We start from the raw sequence: 20,407 nt of genomic DNA on the forward strand, positions 1-20,407 counted from the left end.
CTTCTTATATTAATAAGAAAAATAAAACAAAATAGTGTTGAAGTGTTGGGGCGGCAAAAATTTTTGTGGGGTGGTATGGAGAGAGAATGGGCGATGTTTCTCAGGGCTGCTTCAAGCGGGATTAGGGGCGGCGTGGGAACCTAGAGTGGGAGAGATTAAGCTGAAGGAAGGTCTTGTGGTAAGGGGTGATATTGTGGGGATGTTAGAAGAAACATTTGTCGTATAGAATGACTGGTGATGGCCTGGATACGGTTTTGGCTAAGAATTGGGATGACTCTGGATATCTGATTAGAGAGTGCCTAAGGAGATTCAGCATAGTCCTGCCAGCAAAGATTATTTATTTACTTCAAGAGTTAAGAGTGGCAGTTTGGGGATAGCACCAGGAGATATCAGCTGTGATGGCTTGGAAAAACAGTGTAAACTGGCAGTGTAAACAAGAGCAGGGCATGTATGAGTAGTTGAGAACGGTGAACAGGAGTATGACTAGACAGGAGATAGTAGGGATGACAAGTTTTTTGGGGCACAGTCTAAGTTGGTCTGGTGTCTGGAATGAGACTGGGGCCTAATAAAAAGGAGTGTCTATACAGGAGCTTAAATGGGCTGTACCCTGTAGCATTCTAAGGACAGGCCTGAATTCTGAGAAGGGAAAGTGGTAAAAGTATTGTCCATTCCTTTTTAAGTTGGTGGCTGAGCTTGGTGAGGTGTGTTTTTAAAAGACCTTTAGTCCATTTGACTTTTCTTGAAGACGGAGGACCTTAAGGGATATAAAGGTTTCACTGAATACTAAGAGCCTGAAAAACTGCTTGGCTGATTTGACTAATAAAGGCTCATCTGTTATCAGACTGTATTGAGGTGGGAAGGCTAAACTGAGGAATTATGTCTGACAGAAGGGAAGAAATGACTGCGGTGGCCTTCTCAGACCCTGTAAGAAAGGCCTGTATCTATCCAGTGAAAGTGTCTACCTAGACTAAGAGGCATTTTAGTTATCTGACTCAGGGCATGTTGAGTAAAGCTAATTTGCCAGTCCTGGGTGGGGCAAATCCTCGAGCTTGATGTGTAGGGAAGGGAGGGAGCCTGAATAATCCCTGAGGAGTAGTAGAATAGCAGATGGAACACTGAGAAGTTATTTCCTTGAGGATAGATTTCCACGATGGAAAGGAAATGAGAGGTTCTAAGAAGTGGGCTAGTGGCTTGTACTATAGCATAACCTGCCTTTGCTGGTGTGTGGCGATTAGGCCTGGTGGAACCGCCATCAATAAATCAAGTGTGATCAGGGTTGAGGAACAGGAAAGAAGGAAATTTGGGGAAATAGGGTGAATGTCAGGTGGATCAGAGAGATACAGTCATGGGGGTCAGGTGTGGTATCAGGAATAATGTGGGAGGCCGGATTGAAGTCTGGGCCAGGAACAATGGTAATTGTGGGAGACTCAACAAAGAGTGAGTATAGCTGAAGGAGCCGGGAAGCAGAAAGTATATGCGTCAGGTATGAGGAAGAAAATAGATTTTGGAAGTTATGAGAACTGTAGAGAGTGAGTTGAGCACAGTTTGTGATTTTGAGGGCCTCTAAAAGTATTAAAGCAGCGGCAGCTGCTGCACGCAGACATGAGGGCTAGGCTAAAACAGTAAGGTCAAGTTGTTTGGACAGAAAGGCTACAGGGTGTTGTCCTGGCTCTTGCGTAAGAATTCTGACCGTGCTAACCATGCCTAGGAAGGAAAGGAGTTGTTGTTTTGTAGAAGGTGCTTGGGTTTGAGAGATCAGCTGGACACGATTGGCAGGGAGAGCACGTGTGTTTTTATGAGAATTATGCTGAGATAGGTAACAGATGAGGAAGAAATTTGGGCTTGATTGAAGTAATGGGGGCTGCCTGTGAAGCTTTGCGGCAGTACAGCCTAGGTAATTTGCTGAGCTTGATGGGTGTCAGGGTCAGTCCAAGTGAAAGCGAAGAGAGGCTGGGAATAAGGGTGCAAAGGAATAGTAAAGAAAGCATGTTTGAGATCTAGAACAGAATAATGGGTTGTAGAGGCAGGTATTGAGGATAGGAGAGTATATGTGTTTGGCACCACGGGGTGGATAGGCAAAACGATTTGGTTGATAAGGCGCAGATCCTGAACTAACTTGTAAGGCTTGTCTGGTTTTAGGACAGGTAAAATGGGGGAATTGTAAGGAGAGTTTATAGGCTTTAAAAGGCCATGCTGTAGCAGGCGAGTGATAACAGGCTTTAATCTTTTTAAAGCGTGCTGCAGGATGGGATATTGGCATTGAGTGGGGTAAGGGTGATTAGGTTTTAATGAGATGGTAAGGGGTGCATGATCGGTCGCCAAGGAGGGAGTAGAGGTATCTTATACTTGTGGGTTAAGGTGGGGGGATACAAGAGGAGGACGCAAAGGCGGCTTTGGATTGGGAAGAAGGGCGGCAATAAGATATAGCTGTAGTCCAGGAATAGTCAGGGAAGCAGATAATTTAGTTAAAGTGTCTCAGCCTAATAAGGGAACTGGGCCGGTGGGGATAATTAAAAAGGAGTGCTTAAAAGAGTATTGTCTAAGTTGGCACCAGAGTTGGGGAGTTTTAAGAGGTTTAGAAGCCTGGCCGTCAATACCCACAACAGTTATGGAGGCAAGGGAAACAGGCCCTTGAAAAGAAGGTAATGTGGAGTGGATAGCCTCCGTATTGATTAAGAAGGGGACGGGCTTACCTTCCACTGTGAGAGTTACCCGAAGCTCGGCGTCCGTGATGGTCTAGGGGGCTTCCGAGGCGATCGGGCAGTGTCAGTCTTCAGCCGCTAAGCCGAGAAGATCTGGGAAGGAGTCAGTCAGACAGCCTTGGGCCAGAGTTCCAGGGGCTCTGGGAGTGGCTGCCAGGTGAGTTGAACAGTCCGATTTTCAGTGGGATCCCACACAGATGGGACGCGGCTTAGGAGGACTCCCGGGCTGCGGGCATTCCTTGGCCCAGTGGCCAGATTTCTAGCAAGTGTAGCAAGCTCCTGCGGGAGGAGGTTCTGGAGCAACGCCTGGCCGCTCCAGTTCAGGAGTTTGGAAGTTCTTGTGTGCTGGAAATGTGGCTGGGGTTTGTCTCACAGTGGAGGCAAGGAATTGCAAGTTTTTTCTGTTATTGTACACCTTGAAGGCGAGGTTAATTAAATCCTATTGTGGGGTTTGAGGGCCGGAATTTAATTTTTGGAGTTTTATTTAATGTCGGGGCAGATTCGGTAATAAAATGTGTTTTGAGAATAAGACAGCCTTTTGACCTTTTAGGGTCTAGGGCTGTAAAGTGTCTCAGGGTTTCTGCCAAACAAGTCATGAACTGGGCTGGATTTTTATATTTGATGAAAAAGAGCCTAAACGCTATCTGATTTGGGATAAAGAAAAAGGAGCATTAACCTTGACTATGCCTTTAGCTCCAGCCACCTTTTTAAGAGTAAATTGCTGGGCAGGTGGGGGAGGGCTAGTCACGGAACGAAACTGTAAGCCAGGCCAGGTGTGAGGAGGGGAGGTGATAAAAAGATTATAGGGTGGAGGAGCAGAGGCTGAGGAAGAATTGGGACCTAGCTCAGCCTGGCGAGGATCAGCCTGGGGAGGAAGGGAGAGGTCAGATGGGTCTGTAGAAAAGGAAGATTAGAAAGACTCAGCGATGCTTGGGGTTGGGACTGAGGGGACAGGCAGGAGGGAAAGAAGGAAGATTTGGGACGAGTTGCACTGGGCACAGAGACTAGGAAGGGACTGATGTGTAAAAGAATGCCTGGACGTCAGGCACCTCAGACCGTTTGCCTATTTTATGACAAGAATTATTTAGATCTTGCAGGATGGAAAAATTCAAAGTGCTATTTTCTGGCTATTTGGAACTACTGTCGAGTTTGTATTGGGGTCAAGTGGCATTGCAGAAGAAAATAAGGCATTTAGGTTTTAGGTCAGGTGTGAGTTAAGAGGTTTTAAGTTTTTGAGAACACAGGCCAAGGGACTAGAAGGAGGAATGGAAGGTGGAAGGTTCCCATAGTGAAGGAAGCAAGCCTAGAGAAAAGAGAGAGTAGATAAATGGAGGGAAGGGGTTCGGGGGTTCTTACCTTCCAGAAAAGTGGGAAAAGGGGTTGGGGCGCAGAGATAAGAGGTCGGGGCATGGAAATAAGGGATGGGGCGCAGAAATAAGAGGTAGGGGCACGGAAATAAGGGATTGGGGCGCAGAGATACGAGCTGGGGGTACTTGCCCCTCCTCTAGAAAAGCGGGACTTGCTGCTAGGAGTGAAGGAGAAGGGGTTGAGGGGTACTTGCCCCTTCCCCAGAAAAGCGGGACTTGCCACTAAGGGTGAAGGACCAAGGCAGGCGTCCCTGCGTGGTCTGACAGCTTTGAAACATGGGTGAATAATCAGAGGCGTCCCTGCAATGATTAAACACCAAGGGAAGGCTGCCTTCCCAGTCCGTGACCGGCGCCGGAGTTTTGGGTCCACGGATAAAACGTGTCTCCGTTGTCTCTCCCAGAAAATGAAAGGAATTGAAATTAAGAGAAGGGAGAGATTGAAGAGTGGAAAGGAGAAAGTGGTTGAGGGACAGTGAGAGAGGTTGGAGAAGAGAGTAAGAAGAGGCCACTTACCTGATTTAAAATTGGTGAGATGTTCCTTGGACTGGTCGGTCTGAGGACCTGAGGTCGTTGGTGGATCTTTCTCATGGAGCAAAGAACAGGAGGACAGGGGATTGATCTCCCAAGGGAGGTCCCCCGATCTGAGTCACGGCACCAAATTTCATGCGCGTCCATATGAAGAGACCACCAAACAGGCTTTGTGTGAGCAAGAAAGCTGTTTATTTCACCTGGGTGCAGGCGGGCTGAGTCCGAAAAGAGAGTCAGCGAAGGGAGATAAGGGTGGGGCCATTTTATAGGATTTGGGTAGGTAAAGGAAAATTACAGTCAAAGGGGGTTTGTTCTCTGGCGGGCAGGAGTGGGGGTCACAAGGTGCTCAGTGGGGGTGCTTTTTGAGCCAGGATGAGCCAGGAAAAGGACTTTCACAAGGTAATGTCATCACTTAAGGCAAGGACCGATCATTTACACTTCTTTTGTGGTGGAATGTTATCAGTTAAGGTGGGGAAGGGCATATTCACTTCTTTTGTGATTCTTCAGTTACTTCAGGCCATCTGGGCATATACGTGCAAGTCACAGGGGATGCGATGGCTTGGCTTGGGCTCAGAGGCCTGACATTTAGTGCTATACATTTCTCTCTTAACACTGCCTTAGCTGTGTCTCAGAGATTCTGGTATGTTGTGCTTTTTTCTTACTAGATTCCTACTTTAATGTCATTATTTACCCAAAAGTCATTCAGGAGAAAGTTATTCGAGTTCCATGTAGTTATATGGTTTTGAGTGAATTTCTTAGTCTTGGTCTAATTTGATTGCGCTGTGGTCTGAGAGGCCATTTTCTGTGACTTCAGTTCTTTTGCATTTACTAAGGAGTTGTTTTACTTTCAATTATGTGGTTGATTTTAGAGGAAATGCCATGCAGCGATGAGAGGAATATATATTCTATCGTTTCAGGGTCTGCAGATAACTATCAGGCCCATTTGATCTAGTTTTGGGTTCAGGTCCTGAATATCTTTGTTAACTTTCTACCTTGATGATCTATCTAATATTGTTAGTGGGGTGTTAAAGTCTCCTACTATTATTATGTGGGAGTTTAAGTCTCTTTGAAGGTCTCCGAGAACTTTATGAATCTGGGTGCTCCTGTGTTACACACATATATATTTAGGATAGTTAGCTCTTCATGTTGAATTGAATTATTTACCATTATGTAATGCCCTTCTTTGTCTTTTTTAATCTTTGCCATAAAAGGAATAAAAAACCTAGGAATACAGCTAACTAGGGAGGTGAAAGAACTCCACAAGTAAAACTACAAACCACTGCTCAACTAAATCAGAGATGAAACAAACAAATGGAAAAACATTTCATGATCATGGATAGAAAAGATTAATATCATTAAAATGACCATACTTCTCAAAGCAATTTATATATTCAATGTTATTAACCTACCATTGACATTCTTCACAGAACTAGAAAAAGCTATTTTAAAATTCATATGGAACCTAAAAAGAGCCCTAATAGCCAAGGCAATTGTAAGCAAAAGTAACAAAGCTGGAAGCATCACACTACCTGACTTCAAACTATATGACGGGGGTACAATAATCAAAACAGCAAGGTATAGTGCTATTATAAGAACAGACACATAGACCAGTGAAACAGATTAGAGGTCCCAGAAATCAGACTGCACACCTACAGCTATCTGACCTTCGACAAACGTGACCAAAAAAAAAAAAAAAAAAATGGGGAAATGACTCCCGATTCAATAAATGATGCTGGCATAACCGGCTAGCCATATGCAGAAGATTGAAACTGAATCCCTTCTTTACTCCATATATACACATTAACTCAAGATGGCTTAAAGACTTAAATGTAAAACCCAAAACAGACGCTTTTCAAAAAGAAGACATACGTGTGGCCAAAAATCATACAAAAAAAAAAAAAATGCTCAACATCACTGATCATTAGAGAATTGCAAATCAAAATCACAATGAGATACCATCTAACACCAATCAGAATATCTCCTATTAAGAAATAAAAAAATAACAGATGCTGGCAAAGTTGTAGAACATTTATACACTGTTGTTGGGAGTGCAAAGAAGTTTGGCCATTGTGGAAGACAGTGTAGCAATTCCTCAAAGACCTAGAGACAAAAATACCATTTGACCTAGCAATCCGATTTCTGGGTATATACCCAAAGGAATATAAAATCGTTCTGTTATAAAGATACATGTATGTGTATGTTTATTGCAGCACTATTCACAAGAGCAAAGACATGGAATCAATCTAAATGCCCATCAATGATAGACTGCATAAAGAAAATGTGGTACATATACACCAAGGAATACTATGCAGCCATAAAACAGAATGATTATCATGTCCTTTACAGGGACATGGATGGAGCTGGAGGTCATTATCATTAGCAAACTAACACAGAAACAGAAAAGCAAATACCACATATCCTCATTTATAAGTGGGAGCTAATTGATGAGAACACATGCACACATAGAGAGGAATAACACCCACCGGTGCTTTTCAGAGGGTGAAGGGTGGTGAAGGGAGAGGCTCAGGAAAAACAGCTAATAGGTAGTAGGCTTAATACTGGAGTGATGAAACAATCTGTACAGCTCACCCCCATGGCACAAGTTTACATATGTTAAAAACCTGCACTTGAACCCCTGAACTTAAAACAAAAGTTTAAAAAATATTATTTTTGTTTTACTTGGAACTCAGAAGGTACTTTGATAAATCCTATGATGATTCAGAGATTCATTATTTAAATAAAGATTTTAAAAGTTAGCATTTTTGAGAATGCCAGGATATCCCCATTCAAAATCAAAAATAAAGTATTTTATCTCACCAGTAACTTCACCTGAAAAAAGGCAGGCCACTTTGCAGTCTAGAGGCCTATACTCTGTAGTTGGAATACTTCTTTAACACTTTTATTGAGTAACTTGGATGAATATCCTGTTTGCATAGGGCCGTTTAGGGGCTTGGAAGAAGAAAATATAAAATATCATGGGCTTCTGAATAGAAGAAAAAAATTGTAAATTACATATCTGATAAAGGGTTAGTATCCAGAATATATTAAAAAGTACCTCTTTACAGCTCAACAACAACAACAAATAACCTGGTTATAAAATCGGCAAATGACTTGCACAGAAATTTCTCCATAGATGATATCCAAATGGCCAACAGGCATATTAAAAATGCTCAATATCATTAGTCCTCAGTTAAATGCAAACCCAAACGGCAATGAGATATCACCTTACACCCACGAGGATGGCTACTATATTAAGTTTGCTAAGGAAGCCATAACAAATACCACAGACTGGGTGGCTTAAACAACAGAGAGTTATTTTCTCAAAGTTCTGTAGGCTTAGAAGTTCAAGATGAAGGTGTCAGCATGTTTCATTTCTCCCCATACTGTTCTCCTTGTGTATTAGTCCTTTCTCACACTGTTATAAGAAATATCTAAGACTGGATAATTTATAAAGAAAAGAGGTTTAATTGACTTGCAGTTCTGCATTGCTGAGGAGGTCTCAGGAAACTTACAATCATGGTGGAAGGCAAAGGAGAAGTAGGCACTTTCCTCACAGGGCAGCAGGACGGGTGAGTGCAAGCAGGGGAAATGCCAGAAGCTTATAAAACCATCAGATCTCATGAGACTCACTTATTATTATGAGAACAGCATGGGGGAAACTGCCCCCATGATCCAATTACCTCCACCTGATCCTGCCCTTGACGTGTGAGGATTATGGGAATTATAATTTAAGATGAGATTTTGGGTAGGGACACAGCCAAACCATGTCACCTTGACTAGCAAATGGCCATCTGCTCTCTGTGTCTTCCCATTTTTATCCCTGTATGTGCACATACCTGGTCTTTCAGTTTGTGTCCAAATTTTCTGGTCTTATAGGGATACAAGTCGGACTGAATTGGGGCCTACCTTAACAGCCTCACGTTAGCTCCATCACCTCTTTAAAGGACTTGTGTCTAAATATAGTCACATTTTGAAAGTACTAGGGGTTAGAGTTTCAACATATAAATTTTGTGGGATACATTTCTGTCCATAACAACTACTATCAATACAAACAGACAAATGAACAAACAAACAAAAAAGCAAAGCAGAAAACAAGTGTTGGAAAGTATGTGGAGAAATTGGAATACTTTCAAACTTTTAGTAGATTATAAAATGAAGCAACTGCAATGGAAAACAGTATAGTAGTTCCCCCCAAAATTAAAAATGACACTACTATATGATCAAGCAATCTCTCTTCTGGATATATCTCTAAAATAATTAAAGGCAGAAATGAGATATTTGAACACTCATGTTCATAGCAGCATTAATCTCAATAGCTAAGAAGGGGAAGCAAAGTCAATGTCCTTTGATAGATGTATAAATAAACAAAATGTGGTACACACATAGAGTGGCATATTATTTGGCCTTAGAAATCTTGTCACGTGCTTTGACATAGATAAACTTTGAGGAATTATGCTAAGTGAAATCAGCTAGTGACAGAGAGACAAATATGTATGCCTACATTTATATGAGGTATATAAAGTAGTCAAATTCATAGAAGCAGAAAGTAGGATATTACTTATTAGGTGCTGGACAGAGGGAGAAATTTTAGTTGTTTAATGGGTATAGAATTTTAGTCTTGATAGATGAAAAAGTTTTGGAGATCTCTTGTACACCAATGCGAGTATACCTAACATTACTGATGTACACTTAAAAATGATTAGGATGGTAAATTTTATGTTATGTGGGGTTCTTATTAACTGCAATTAAAAAGAAAAAGATTGGAAGAATTAAACTAAAATGTCGTGCCCTTGTCATTGAGTGGAAGTTACCAACCTTGGATGAAAGAAAGCAGAGGTTATAGATAGCAATCGCCTTAACAATGTCTAGTAATAAACCTATTTGTTTCCATAACTGAGCATGATGCTCAGTTTTGACTCATTGTTCTCTTCAGGCCTTGGGAATTCTTCAAATTCTCCATTGACAGCACAAATTTGCAAAATAGAGGAATTTTAAAACCTTGTAATATATAAAATAAAACAAACACCCTCTCAAAAAATAATGGACTAAGAGGACTGGGGATGAGTCATAGAGGGTCCTGTGGGTGTAATGCCTGAAGATTATTGTTTCTTTTGTTAATGCCCACTAGAGAATATATATATATGTATATATATATACATATATATACACACATATATACATATATATATGTATATATGTGTGTATATATATCACTAAAAACCCAAGTAGAAAGTATGTTTTGACAAGTTGCCATCAGCCAGACTTCAAGTTTGGCACAATGGACACATAAATCAAGTAGCAATGATGACATTAAAGGATGTAATAAGTGGACCCAAGAGGATGCACTCCCATTTCCTAAAGCTGATTCAGTTACAGCCAATGACAAATAGCATATCTTTCAGTGGCCAATGCTCAGAAACTGTATTAGTCAGGGTTATCCAGACAAACAGAAACAATAAATGGAATGTATGTATGTATATATGTGCATGTGTATGTGTGTGTAGTGTGCGTATATATGCATATAAAGATTTACTATATAAAAAATTGGCTCATTCAGTTGTGGAGGCTGAGAAATCCCAAGATCTCCAGTTGGCCATCTGGAGAATCAGGAGGGCCAGCGATATAAATTCCAGTCTGAATGTCGACAGGCTCAAGACTCAAGAAGAGTCAATGATTTGCTTACAGTCTGAAGGCTGGAAATCACCCATTGCTCAGTTTAACAGTCAGGCAGCAGAAGTTCCCTCTTAATCAGCCTTTTTCTTCTATTCAGGTCTTCAATTGATTAGATAAGGCCCACTCATACCAAGGAAGACAACCTACTTTATTCAGTTTAGAGATTCAAAAGTCAATCTTGGCGGGGTGCCGTGACTCATGCCTGTAATCCTATGAATTTGAGAGGCTGAGGCAGGAGGATCACTTGAAGTCAGGAGTTCTAGACCAGCCTGGACAACATGGCAATACCCCGTCTCTACTAAAGATACAAAAATTAGCCGGGTGTGGTGGTAGGCATTTGTAATCCCAGCTACTTGGGAGGCTGAAGCAGGAGAATCGCTTGAACCCGGGAGGTGCAGGTTGCAGTGGGCTGAGATGGCACCACTGCCCTCCAGCCTGGGCGACAGAGTAAGACCCTGTCTCAAAGAAAAAAAAAAGTTAATCTCATTTAGAAACACCCTCACAGACACACTGAAAATAATATTTGTCAAAATGTCTGAGCACTCTGATGGTACAGTCAAATGGAAACATAAAATTTTCACATCAGAAAGACTCAGTATGCCATTATCTCTTGGGGACCAACCAGCTTTTTGGTGTCCAGTTTATTACACTGTACCCCTTTTACCCTGGAAGGAACAATGACTCATCTTGACTGGAATCAACATACGTTTCAAGTTTATAAATTTCAACCTGAAGGACCTAAGGATCTAAGGCAACATCACTCTTTAAGAGCCTTAGAACACTGGATCCACAGTCTTACAGAGAACCAAAGTAACATTTTTATCAGAAAAAAGATGTACCAGTGAGCATATGGTCACTATTGACTCTATTATGTACTGCAACTATGTTGGAGTAATAGAATAACAGAGGCATAGCTGAAGCACCAGCTTAGAGATGATGCACTGTTAGGATAAAGAGCCATCCTCTAGGATGCTGGATACATCCTGAATTAAAAACTGTTACATAATGCTGTATCCCTAAGAAGTTGAACACATAGGTTCAAGAACTGACAGACATAAGTAGGAACCATCCTACTCATAATGACTTCCAGTGATCTACTTGGATAATTTGTTTTCCTCCCCAAAACTCTAGGCTCTGCAGGTTTATGTGTCTCTGTTCCTAGAGATATATGCTTCCACCAGGGAAAATTACAGAAAGTATCTAGTTTCATGTTAACCAATTACTAACTGCATAGTATATTTGATCTCCTTATGCCAAGAGACCAGGAAGAGAAAAGAATTCACGATTCTTACAGAGGTAATTGATTCTAGTATTCTAAGGAGATATTGTTTCTGATTCACAATGGAGTCAGAAAAAAATATATATGATACCTAAGTGATTCATTCACTTGAATGTCTCTCAGTGTTTCTTTGATCAATTTTGATAAATTGACAGATGTAAAAGCAACAGCATAAAAAAAGGCCTGGTGACTCAGACTCAGAACCTTCAAGGTCTTGGTCTGAACATGCCATCAAGTAAGCCACTTAGATAAACAGAGGTGGCCTCTGAAGATGAAGATTTTGGAGGATTGGTAGAGGAAGGATATGATGATTGTCAGTGAAATCAGCACCGACAGGAAGGGCTGTAGGTCACCTCTCTACCACTCCTCTTAGTTTTCCCAGGAAATGACAATAACCATCTTCCTGAAAAGGCTATTCTCATATGTGGTGGGCTATAATGAATGCTAATTCCTTCTTCTGGACTGGGAAATTCATTCCCCAGCTGCTTGAAGAGCTGACTGCTGACAGCTCACAGTTGAGTCCCTGCCCATGAATTTCCTTGACCAAAGTGACCTGCCTCAACTAAGTTTATGGCCTTATCCCAGGGACTGCCTGCTTCTAATGATTGTTTCATGAGGGAATAAAATATGTGAGCCCCTTAACTTGGAACAACTCTAAAATGTCATCTCAGCTCTACAGCATCCTTTGCAGCATTTGCTAAGTCCTTTTTTTTTTTTTTTTTGAGACGGAGTCTCGCTCTGTCGCCCAGGCTGGAGTGCAGTGGCGGGATCTCGGCTCACTGCAAGCTCCGCCTCCCGGGTTCACGCCATTCTCCTGCCTCAGCCTCCCAAGTAGCTGGGACTACAGGCGCCCGCCACTACGCCCGGCTAATTTTTTGTATTTTTAGTAGAGACGGGGTTTCACCGTTTTAGCCGGGATGGTCTCCATCTCCTGACCTTGTGATCCGACCGCCTCGGCCTCCCAAAGTGCTGGGATTACAGGCGTGAGCCACCGCGCCCGGCCAAGTCCTTTTTTGCAAATGCATCACAGTCCATATTGTCCTTCTGCCCAGTCCTACTTCCTTAACTCCCTTAAAAGTGTTTTTGTTTCATTTTGTTTTCCTGTTTCATCTATCATTGATACGTTCATGGGGCAAAATCTGTAGTGATGTGTTGAGGGGAAATCTTTGGATTTATCAGATGAATTTATTTTTATTTTATTGTATAAATTGCTTTTTCAACATCATAAGTATATATCTATCCAGTTTTCCTGTATTTTAAATTCTCAGTATGGTCAGCATCTTCATTCTTCACGAATTTTAGTAAAATGACTTCTAAAGAGTAGACTAAATTAAATATTTGTTAGTGATGAATTTAAAGAAAATTTCACAAAGAAAAGGAAAATAGCAGAAAGATGTTCCTTGCAGGAACCTTAAAAGGTAGGGTCTCCTTTTAAATTCACTATTTCATTAATATTTTATTTCTTAAAGCATTCAATTAAATTCCACATTATATTATTGTAAAATAATACCAAAAATACAACATCAAGTAATATAGAACAGGAATTAAACTTTCCAAATAGCTCTTGATAGGGAGAAAGACTCTAAGGGACAAATAAACATTTGGAAGAAAAGGTGCCAGGAAATGCTTACACATGGCATGCTGTGTAAAAATAGAATACCTAATTGGTTGTCTCTTTATACATATGTGTGTATTGACTATGGGGTAAAGGGATTTCCTTGAATCTCAGGAGCCAGGGCACAGGTCTCAGGTGCCTAGGGGAACACAGAGCCCAGTGAGAATTATTACTGGCAATACCACCAGTTTCTCAATTTTGCTGAGAGCTACCTTGAATTACTTTCAATGCTTATTTGCTGCTTTGTTTCCCTTAAGTACTACAATTATTATTTTATCCTTAATAAATTACATACATATTTATCTCCTTTAAGGGTTAGGAGGGAGGTCTTAATTCCATAAATGAGAGAAGAAAAATAACAGAAAAAAATAGTGAACAAGACAGAAGCCACTATACAAATATTACTCCTAATTTCTATAATACTTAGAGCATTTTGGGCAGGAAATCTTAGCATACGACCCATATCCTTGTAATTTTGCTTCCATGGCCTAATGAATTATATTGTAGCATCAGATTGTGAGCTTATTAAAACCATGGTCCTTTTAGTACACAAATTGCTCTTCCTGCTTTTTTTCCCCTAAATTGGGCTCAGCTATTTGCTATGTATTATGACTAACCTAAAAATTGTTCATTTAAATATTATTACATATTTAAAATGAAGGTTTTTATTTTACTGCAACTCTATTTTCATGCTTAATTTTTTATAGCCTCCAATTTTCAACTGCTTAATAATCCCACTGTGGTTTTTATATGGTGATAAAAGAACTAAAAAGACAACTTTTGCAACCCACTGCTTACCAGAGTAAGATCAACACAGCTCCCAAGCTTATATCCCTTCACTCACAGGGCCCAAAATATATTTTGAGTTTAATAAGTCATGACACTGAGATGAAAAGGGATTCAATATAAAACAACATGTAAAAATACAATATTGGGTTAAAATGTGGAAAATTTCTCTAAGGTAACAAATCAAATGTACTCACTTTTATAAACCAAATTCAATTTAATAAACGTTAAATTTTAAAGATATATAACCTTTAATGTATCGGCCACCTGTCTAAACTGATATTAATTCAATTAATATAGCAAAGCTTGTTTCATAAATCTTTCTTCAAGATGGAGAATTAAAGAAAACATAAAAATTTTGTTAACCCCTGATATTTATTAATAGAAACTTAAAGATACAATTGTGATAGAATATTTTGAGGGAGAGCTCACATAATCTTAAGTGTGCTAATCGTCAGTTTTGACCTATGTATTGAAAAAGTGCTTGTTGATAGCATTCGTCAGAAAAACCTAGCACTAGTGTCATTGGCCCTAAGGCAGAAACCATCAAAGGCATGGGAAAGGTACATCAGGGAATGGCTAGACTGCCAAGGTTAAACCTTGGCTCTGCTGCTAACTAGTTACAAAAATTTGAGTACATTATTGAACTATGTTTCCACATTTATAAAGTCATAAATGTGGAAACATATTACATAATAAGAATACTCAGCTTATATGGAACTTGTGAGCATTAAAAAAGTCAATAGGTTAATATATGTAAAATATTTATAATGGTGCCTGGAATATTGTATGCTTCCAACAAATGTTAGCTTTATAATTATTGTCTGTATAAATTATTAAAACTCAAAGTGTTAGAAAAGAGAAATGCCTGTAGTGGCTTTGGGAGCCTTTGCCCCAGTTCCACTGATGCTATCATTCCTCAAAACCTATTTGCAGGCCTTCCTTTGAAACCACGTTCAAATCATATAAAACAAAGATCTTCAATTCACATTGAATACTCAACATATACAATATACAAGGTATTTTATTCTTGGTGCTGGCAATGAAAAATGAGTAAGCATAATTTCCCTCCTCAAAATGCTTATAGTCCAGTAGGAGAAACAGAAGTCACAAATAAGCACCATAGCATAGCATCCTCTTGTATTTCAGTACAGAATTTTTGACATTGAGCCATAACTGACATGCATCTTTGATTTCCATCTGATTGACATTTATACAGAGCAGGGATTACCCAGAAACCAGCACCGGGACTGACCCCAAGTAAGAATTCAATAAATGATTGCTGAAGGAATGTAAATCATAAATATACATAAAAAGAGAGGCAATGTTTATGGAAACTGTCAAAGTTTCATAAGAGTGGAAAATGTCTTCATTAGGTCTTTGAATATTAAATAAGAGTTCATGAGGCAGATAAATGTGAAATTACGTTTTGCGTCCAGAAAAGTGTGAACAGTTTGGTATTGGTGTAGTGAAAAACAAACAAACAAACAAAAATCATTTTTTTTTAAGCCATCTCAGGAAGTAGGTCATCTACTGAAGGAAGTTTATCTGTATAGGAAACTACAATGGTGATTCAGGGAAAAGAATATAAAACTTGAGTCAAAACTCAAATAGTTAAGAAGGAGAAGACAGATTCTAAGTAATTTAGGAAATGATTGCAAGATTTGGAGATGAATGGGCATGTATTTCAGTATACAGTAAGGCTCTGAATGAATAGAATGATAACTACTCTTTGTATTTTGATAGCAGATACAATTTTAGAAAGTGCCAGCATTTTTAGAGCAACTGTCCTGTGAATAAGGGTAATTATCAAATTTCATAGAATCATTTTTATTGAGTTTCCATATAATAAAAATATTTTTTCTCTGGCATATCCAATGGCTATGTAAACATTTTTATCAGAAGAGTTTCCACATATTTTAATTAATAGTACCATATGGAAATTTGTATAACAACCATATGGGGTTAATTTTAAAGACAGAATTTATTGAAGAAATTAGTTTTTAATTTGATATTGCCTTATTATTGCATTATCATATTGTATTAGAGTTCTCTAGAGGAACAGAACCAATAGGATATATATATATATATATATATACACACATATATATATATATACACACACACACACACACACACACATATATATATATATATATATATGTAGGTATGTATATTTATGGGAGCTTATTAAGTATTAACTTACACTATCACAAGGTCCCACAATAGGCTGCCTGCAAGCTGAGGAGCAAGGAGAGCCAGTCCGAGTCCTCAAACTGAAGAACTTGTAGTCCCATGTTTGAGGGCAGGAAGCATCCAGCAAGGGAAAAAGATGTAGGCTAGGAGGCTAGGCCAGTCTCACCTTTTCACGTTTTCCTGCCTGCTTATATTCACTGGCAGATGATTAGATTGTGCCCATCAAATTAAGGGTGGATCTGCCTTCCCCAGCCCACTGACACAAATGTTAATCTCTTTTGACAACACCCCAAAGACACACCCAAGATCAATACTTTGTATCCTTCAATGCAATCAAGTTGACACTCTATATTAGCCATTATACATATCTTCTATTTGTTATTGCTCTTTGACTCTAGGAACTCAGGAATGTGCTATAGAAACACTCACTAACAAAGAACTACTCTTTGTCTTGATTAATGTAGTTTCAAAATGCTGATAGAAATTAAGGGAACAATATTTGTCATTTGTATTGTGATGTCCACTTAGTCATTTAGGCTAAGGAACATAAGAATGCTGGGACCTGAGCTAGTTGTCTCTCTATCTAGCTCTTATATTTCAGAAATAATACTATAATATTTGTGAGACAATTAGTTTTCTACCATCATTAGCAGATTCATTTTATTTGTGCATAAGTACTTCATTTGTTTAAGCTTATATATTGTAATCTTTAACCTATGTAAAATAGTGTCTGTAGTATATTTTTGGTGCTAAAATTTTACAAATTTTGTGTAATTGCAATTGTTTGAATCTAATATTACAGAAGGATTCGTGAGCATAGTGGAAATGCTTCAAAAATTAAGAATTTCGGAGACTAAAATTACATTACTGTACACTGACTATACATGTAAGAAGATAAATTCCAGATAGGAATCTAAGCTAAAGACTTAGACTATTGACAATTTTATTCTTCATTTACAAAACCTTTCATTTATTCTTCCTCTATAAATCACTGTTTTCATTAAAAATAAATGCTGATTAATGCATGCACCACAGACAGTTTTTTAAACCTCAGTGCGTGCAAGGTATTTACATGCAGCCTTAACAAAGCTATATAATGATCACCCACAGTGGTAACATTATGTGCAATACAATGATCATAGACACCCAGGTATATTCGGTATGAGCAAAAACTGTTTCTAAACTTTTCATAAAAAATATACTTTTTGATAATTTGAGGAATGTACATCCCTTGCTCTCAGTTACACTTAACTAAACCACATAGCACATCTCAAAATGAGACCATGAATGAATCAGTCTGTTTCATACCCTTCTTATTCAAATTCCAGTGATTTTTTTTTTAACTGTATTTTATGGAGCAGCTGCAGGGCCTGAGCTTCTTTTTGTCTTGAAAAAAAATAAAGACCTCATTTAGCTCTTAGTGGAGCTATGAGCAGCAATGTGTTTGTTAGTCCAATGCATCCGTTCTTTGTGTAGCCGCAAACTCCAGACAGCATTGCGACTCCCTCCTCTGCTAAACTGTGTGAGGAGACAGTAGGTCACTGCTGCAGTCTGCCATCCAACAAAAGAAACAGAGGTGTGAAGAAAATGTTTGTGTACATTTGAGATGCTGTGACTATGGCTAAGTAATCAGCATAAGACTGAAGCTGCTCCATCACAAGAATGATGAGAAATTTTGCCAACAGCTAAATTGGAACTATGTGAATCTTAAAAAGATTGTGTAGAAAGGATGCCGTATTTAGTTACTGGTGCCATATTATATACAGTTTTCTTTATTGTTAGGTGATATTCAAAATTCTCTGTGAAAGCAGGCAATGTCCTGATTTATGTGGTGTGAAACCATGGTCAGTTGTAACCATGGCTACGATGTCATGGAGAAATCTGACAATGGAATCCACTAATTATAACTTTAAACCTTACCCTATCTCTAGCTTAAAAAAATTGTTCTCAGAATTATTGCATTTGATTTATATCTTAGTGAATGACCTGGAAACTCCACAGCTCTTTTACAAAGCTTATCAGAAGAAGGATATACCATTTTCAAAAACTTTTCTAATGTCTAGCTACAAGAAAACCTGCAGAACTTCCTCTTACCTGCATGTTTTTACAAGCAGTGCAACCCTCTTTCTAGTTGAAATTTACTTCATCCATTAATCACGTGTAATTGTTTCCACATTACAAAGTGTTTAGTACACTCTCTGTGGTGTGATTAATTAGATTTTATGTTAAAAATGATGTAGTCATGCTCAGAAGCAGTAAAAGACATGCAGTGCATTTGGGAAACAATGCCCAGAGTTACAGGTGGTAATTACCTTAACATACACAAGTGATTTCTTCCACTTCAGAATCATAATTCATAACTACCTTTATGACAAAATTTTAGGATATTTGAAATAAAAGATTAATTTGTACTAATTCCTATACTTTTCAAATGCATATAGATATTTTTACATACGTAGTACTTGAAATAGTAGTAATATATTTAACATTTTTAAATGATAGAAAATTCACATTATGTTTTCACATCATGACTTTTGCTTAGTTTGTTAGCAACTTCAATATCTCTAAAAGTAAGGCTAATATTACATCTGTATTGTGAAGGGGACATGAGACAAGGCATGTTTGAAATACTTTAATGTACAAAATTATATGTTTGTAGTACAGCAACAGACAGTGGTTCAGGTAGTTGACCACAGAACATTATTAAAGCTACAAAAATGTAGCAACAAAATCAGATACAAAAGAGAGTTAAATAAAAGTCACATTTTAAAAATATACGCTACAAAAATATCTCTAAAACAATACTCAAAATGTTATGTCAGAAATTATAAACTATAAGTCACACATTTTCATTTTCTGGCCTAGAGTTTTGAATGAATTGTTATAGATGTAAGGCAAAAATTATTGTAATTTATTATATATCACATTTAAAACTTCTACATTCTTTTCTAATAGTTACTTAATAGATATTAATCTAAAAGTGTGCCTCATAGATTTTTGCGGGGAGAGTTATACATGATACACTTTATTTATGGCAGTGGAAGTAATTGAATGCCTGTAGGTAAACATCAACAAAAGAGAGTGGTAGTCTCAAAAGAAGCTGCTATGAACTGAACCGTGTTCCCCTAAAAATCATATGTTAAAGCTCCAACCCACAAAGAGACTGTATTTGGAGATAGAACTTTTATGAGGTAATTAAGCTTAAATAAGGTCATAAGGTTGGGGTTCTAATCCTTGTAGGATTGGTGGCCTTACAAGAAGAGGAAGGATCACTCTCTCTCTTTACACTTATGTACCTAGGAGAGGCCATGTGAGCACAGAGGGAGAAAGTGGCCACAAGCCAGGAAGAGAGCCATAACCAGAACCCCACAGTGCTGACACGCTGACCTCAGACTTCCAGACTCCTTCAGACTCTCGGAGAATAAATTTCTGTTGTTTAAGTTACTCAATCAGTGATCAACAATACTTTATTACGGCAGCCGAAGCTGACTATTACAGAAGCAGGGTATTTAAATTATTCACTTATGTCTGAATAATTTTATGTCATGGAAACTGTAAAGTCCTAAACATTGTGTACTTAAGAGTGCTAGTTTTATTATTGAGCATAGAACAGAAATGTACAGCATGGATTCCTACGTCACTTTGTAACAAGAGATTTTCATAAGATTATCAATATCAGAGTCTAGGAATGTAAAAAGATATTTTTACACCATTCTCTCTTTCTCTCCTTTCACATATCTAAAAAATGAAAATGGCATATATTTTATATTAAATATTCTCAGTTATATAACACCTTTTATTGAAGAGGACACAGTGAATATATATTTTTCAAAATCAATGCTAATAGTTTATTTTCCATATTCATTCTAAAATATACACAAAGATCGTAATAGATAAAAAGAAATAAGTAGTAGTTTAGAAAGTGAAAGTTATTAACAGTGATATTTTTAAGATAGAATCTTACCATTCATTTCCATAAAGAAAACCTGGTATGTGTTCTTAAAAAATTTTTTTTTTCAATAGCTTTAGAGGTACAAGTGGTTTTGGGTTACATGGATGAATTGTATCATGGAGAAGTCTGGCAATTTAGTGCACTCATCAGCCAAGTAGTATGTATTGCACCCAATAGGTAGTTTTTTTTTTTTTTTCACTGCCGCTCCCCCACCCCCGTCGCCACTGAGTCTCCAATGTCCATTATATTACTCTGTATGCTTTGCATGCTCATAGCTTAGCTCCCACTTATAAGAGAACATATGGTTAC

The 20,407-nt window shown here is 38.5% G+C and overlaps 2 annotated features.

Moving 5' to 3' along the window:
- Window positions 4,049-4,858: an enhancer, noted in NCBI's record as "OCT4-NANOG-H3K27ac-H3K4me1 hESC enhancer chr6:94544335-94545144 (GRCh37/hg19 assembly coordinates)". NCBI's record gives its function as "activates a minimal SCP1, AML or CMV promoter by ChIP-STARR-seq in primed H9 embryonic stem cells {active_cell/tissue: H9 hESC(primed)}" and the evidence as "EXISTENCE:reporter gene assay evidence [ECO:0000049][PMID:30033119]".
- Window positions 4,859-5,667: an enhancer, noted in NCBI's record as "OCT4-NANOG-H3K27ac hESC enhancer chr6:94545145-94545953 (GRCh37/hg19 assembly coordinates)". NCBI's record gives its function as "activates a minimal SCP1, AML or CMV promoter by ChIP-STARR-seq in naive and primed H9 embryonic stem cells {active_cell/tissue: H9 hESC(naive and primed)}" and the evidence as "EXISTENCE:reporter gene assay evidence [ECO:0000049][PMID:30033119]".

The sequence above is a fragment of the Homo sapiens genome, chromosome 6, assembly GCF_000001405.40.
Source record: "Homo sapiens chromosome 6, GRCh38.p14 Primary Assembly".
In the NCBI taxonomy this organism is placed as follows: Eukaryota; Metazoa; Chordata; class Mammalia; order Primates; family Hominidae; genus Homo; species Homo sapiens.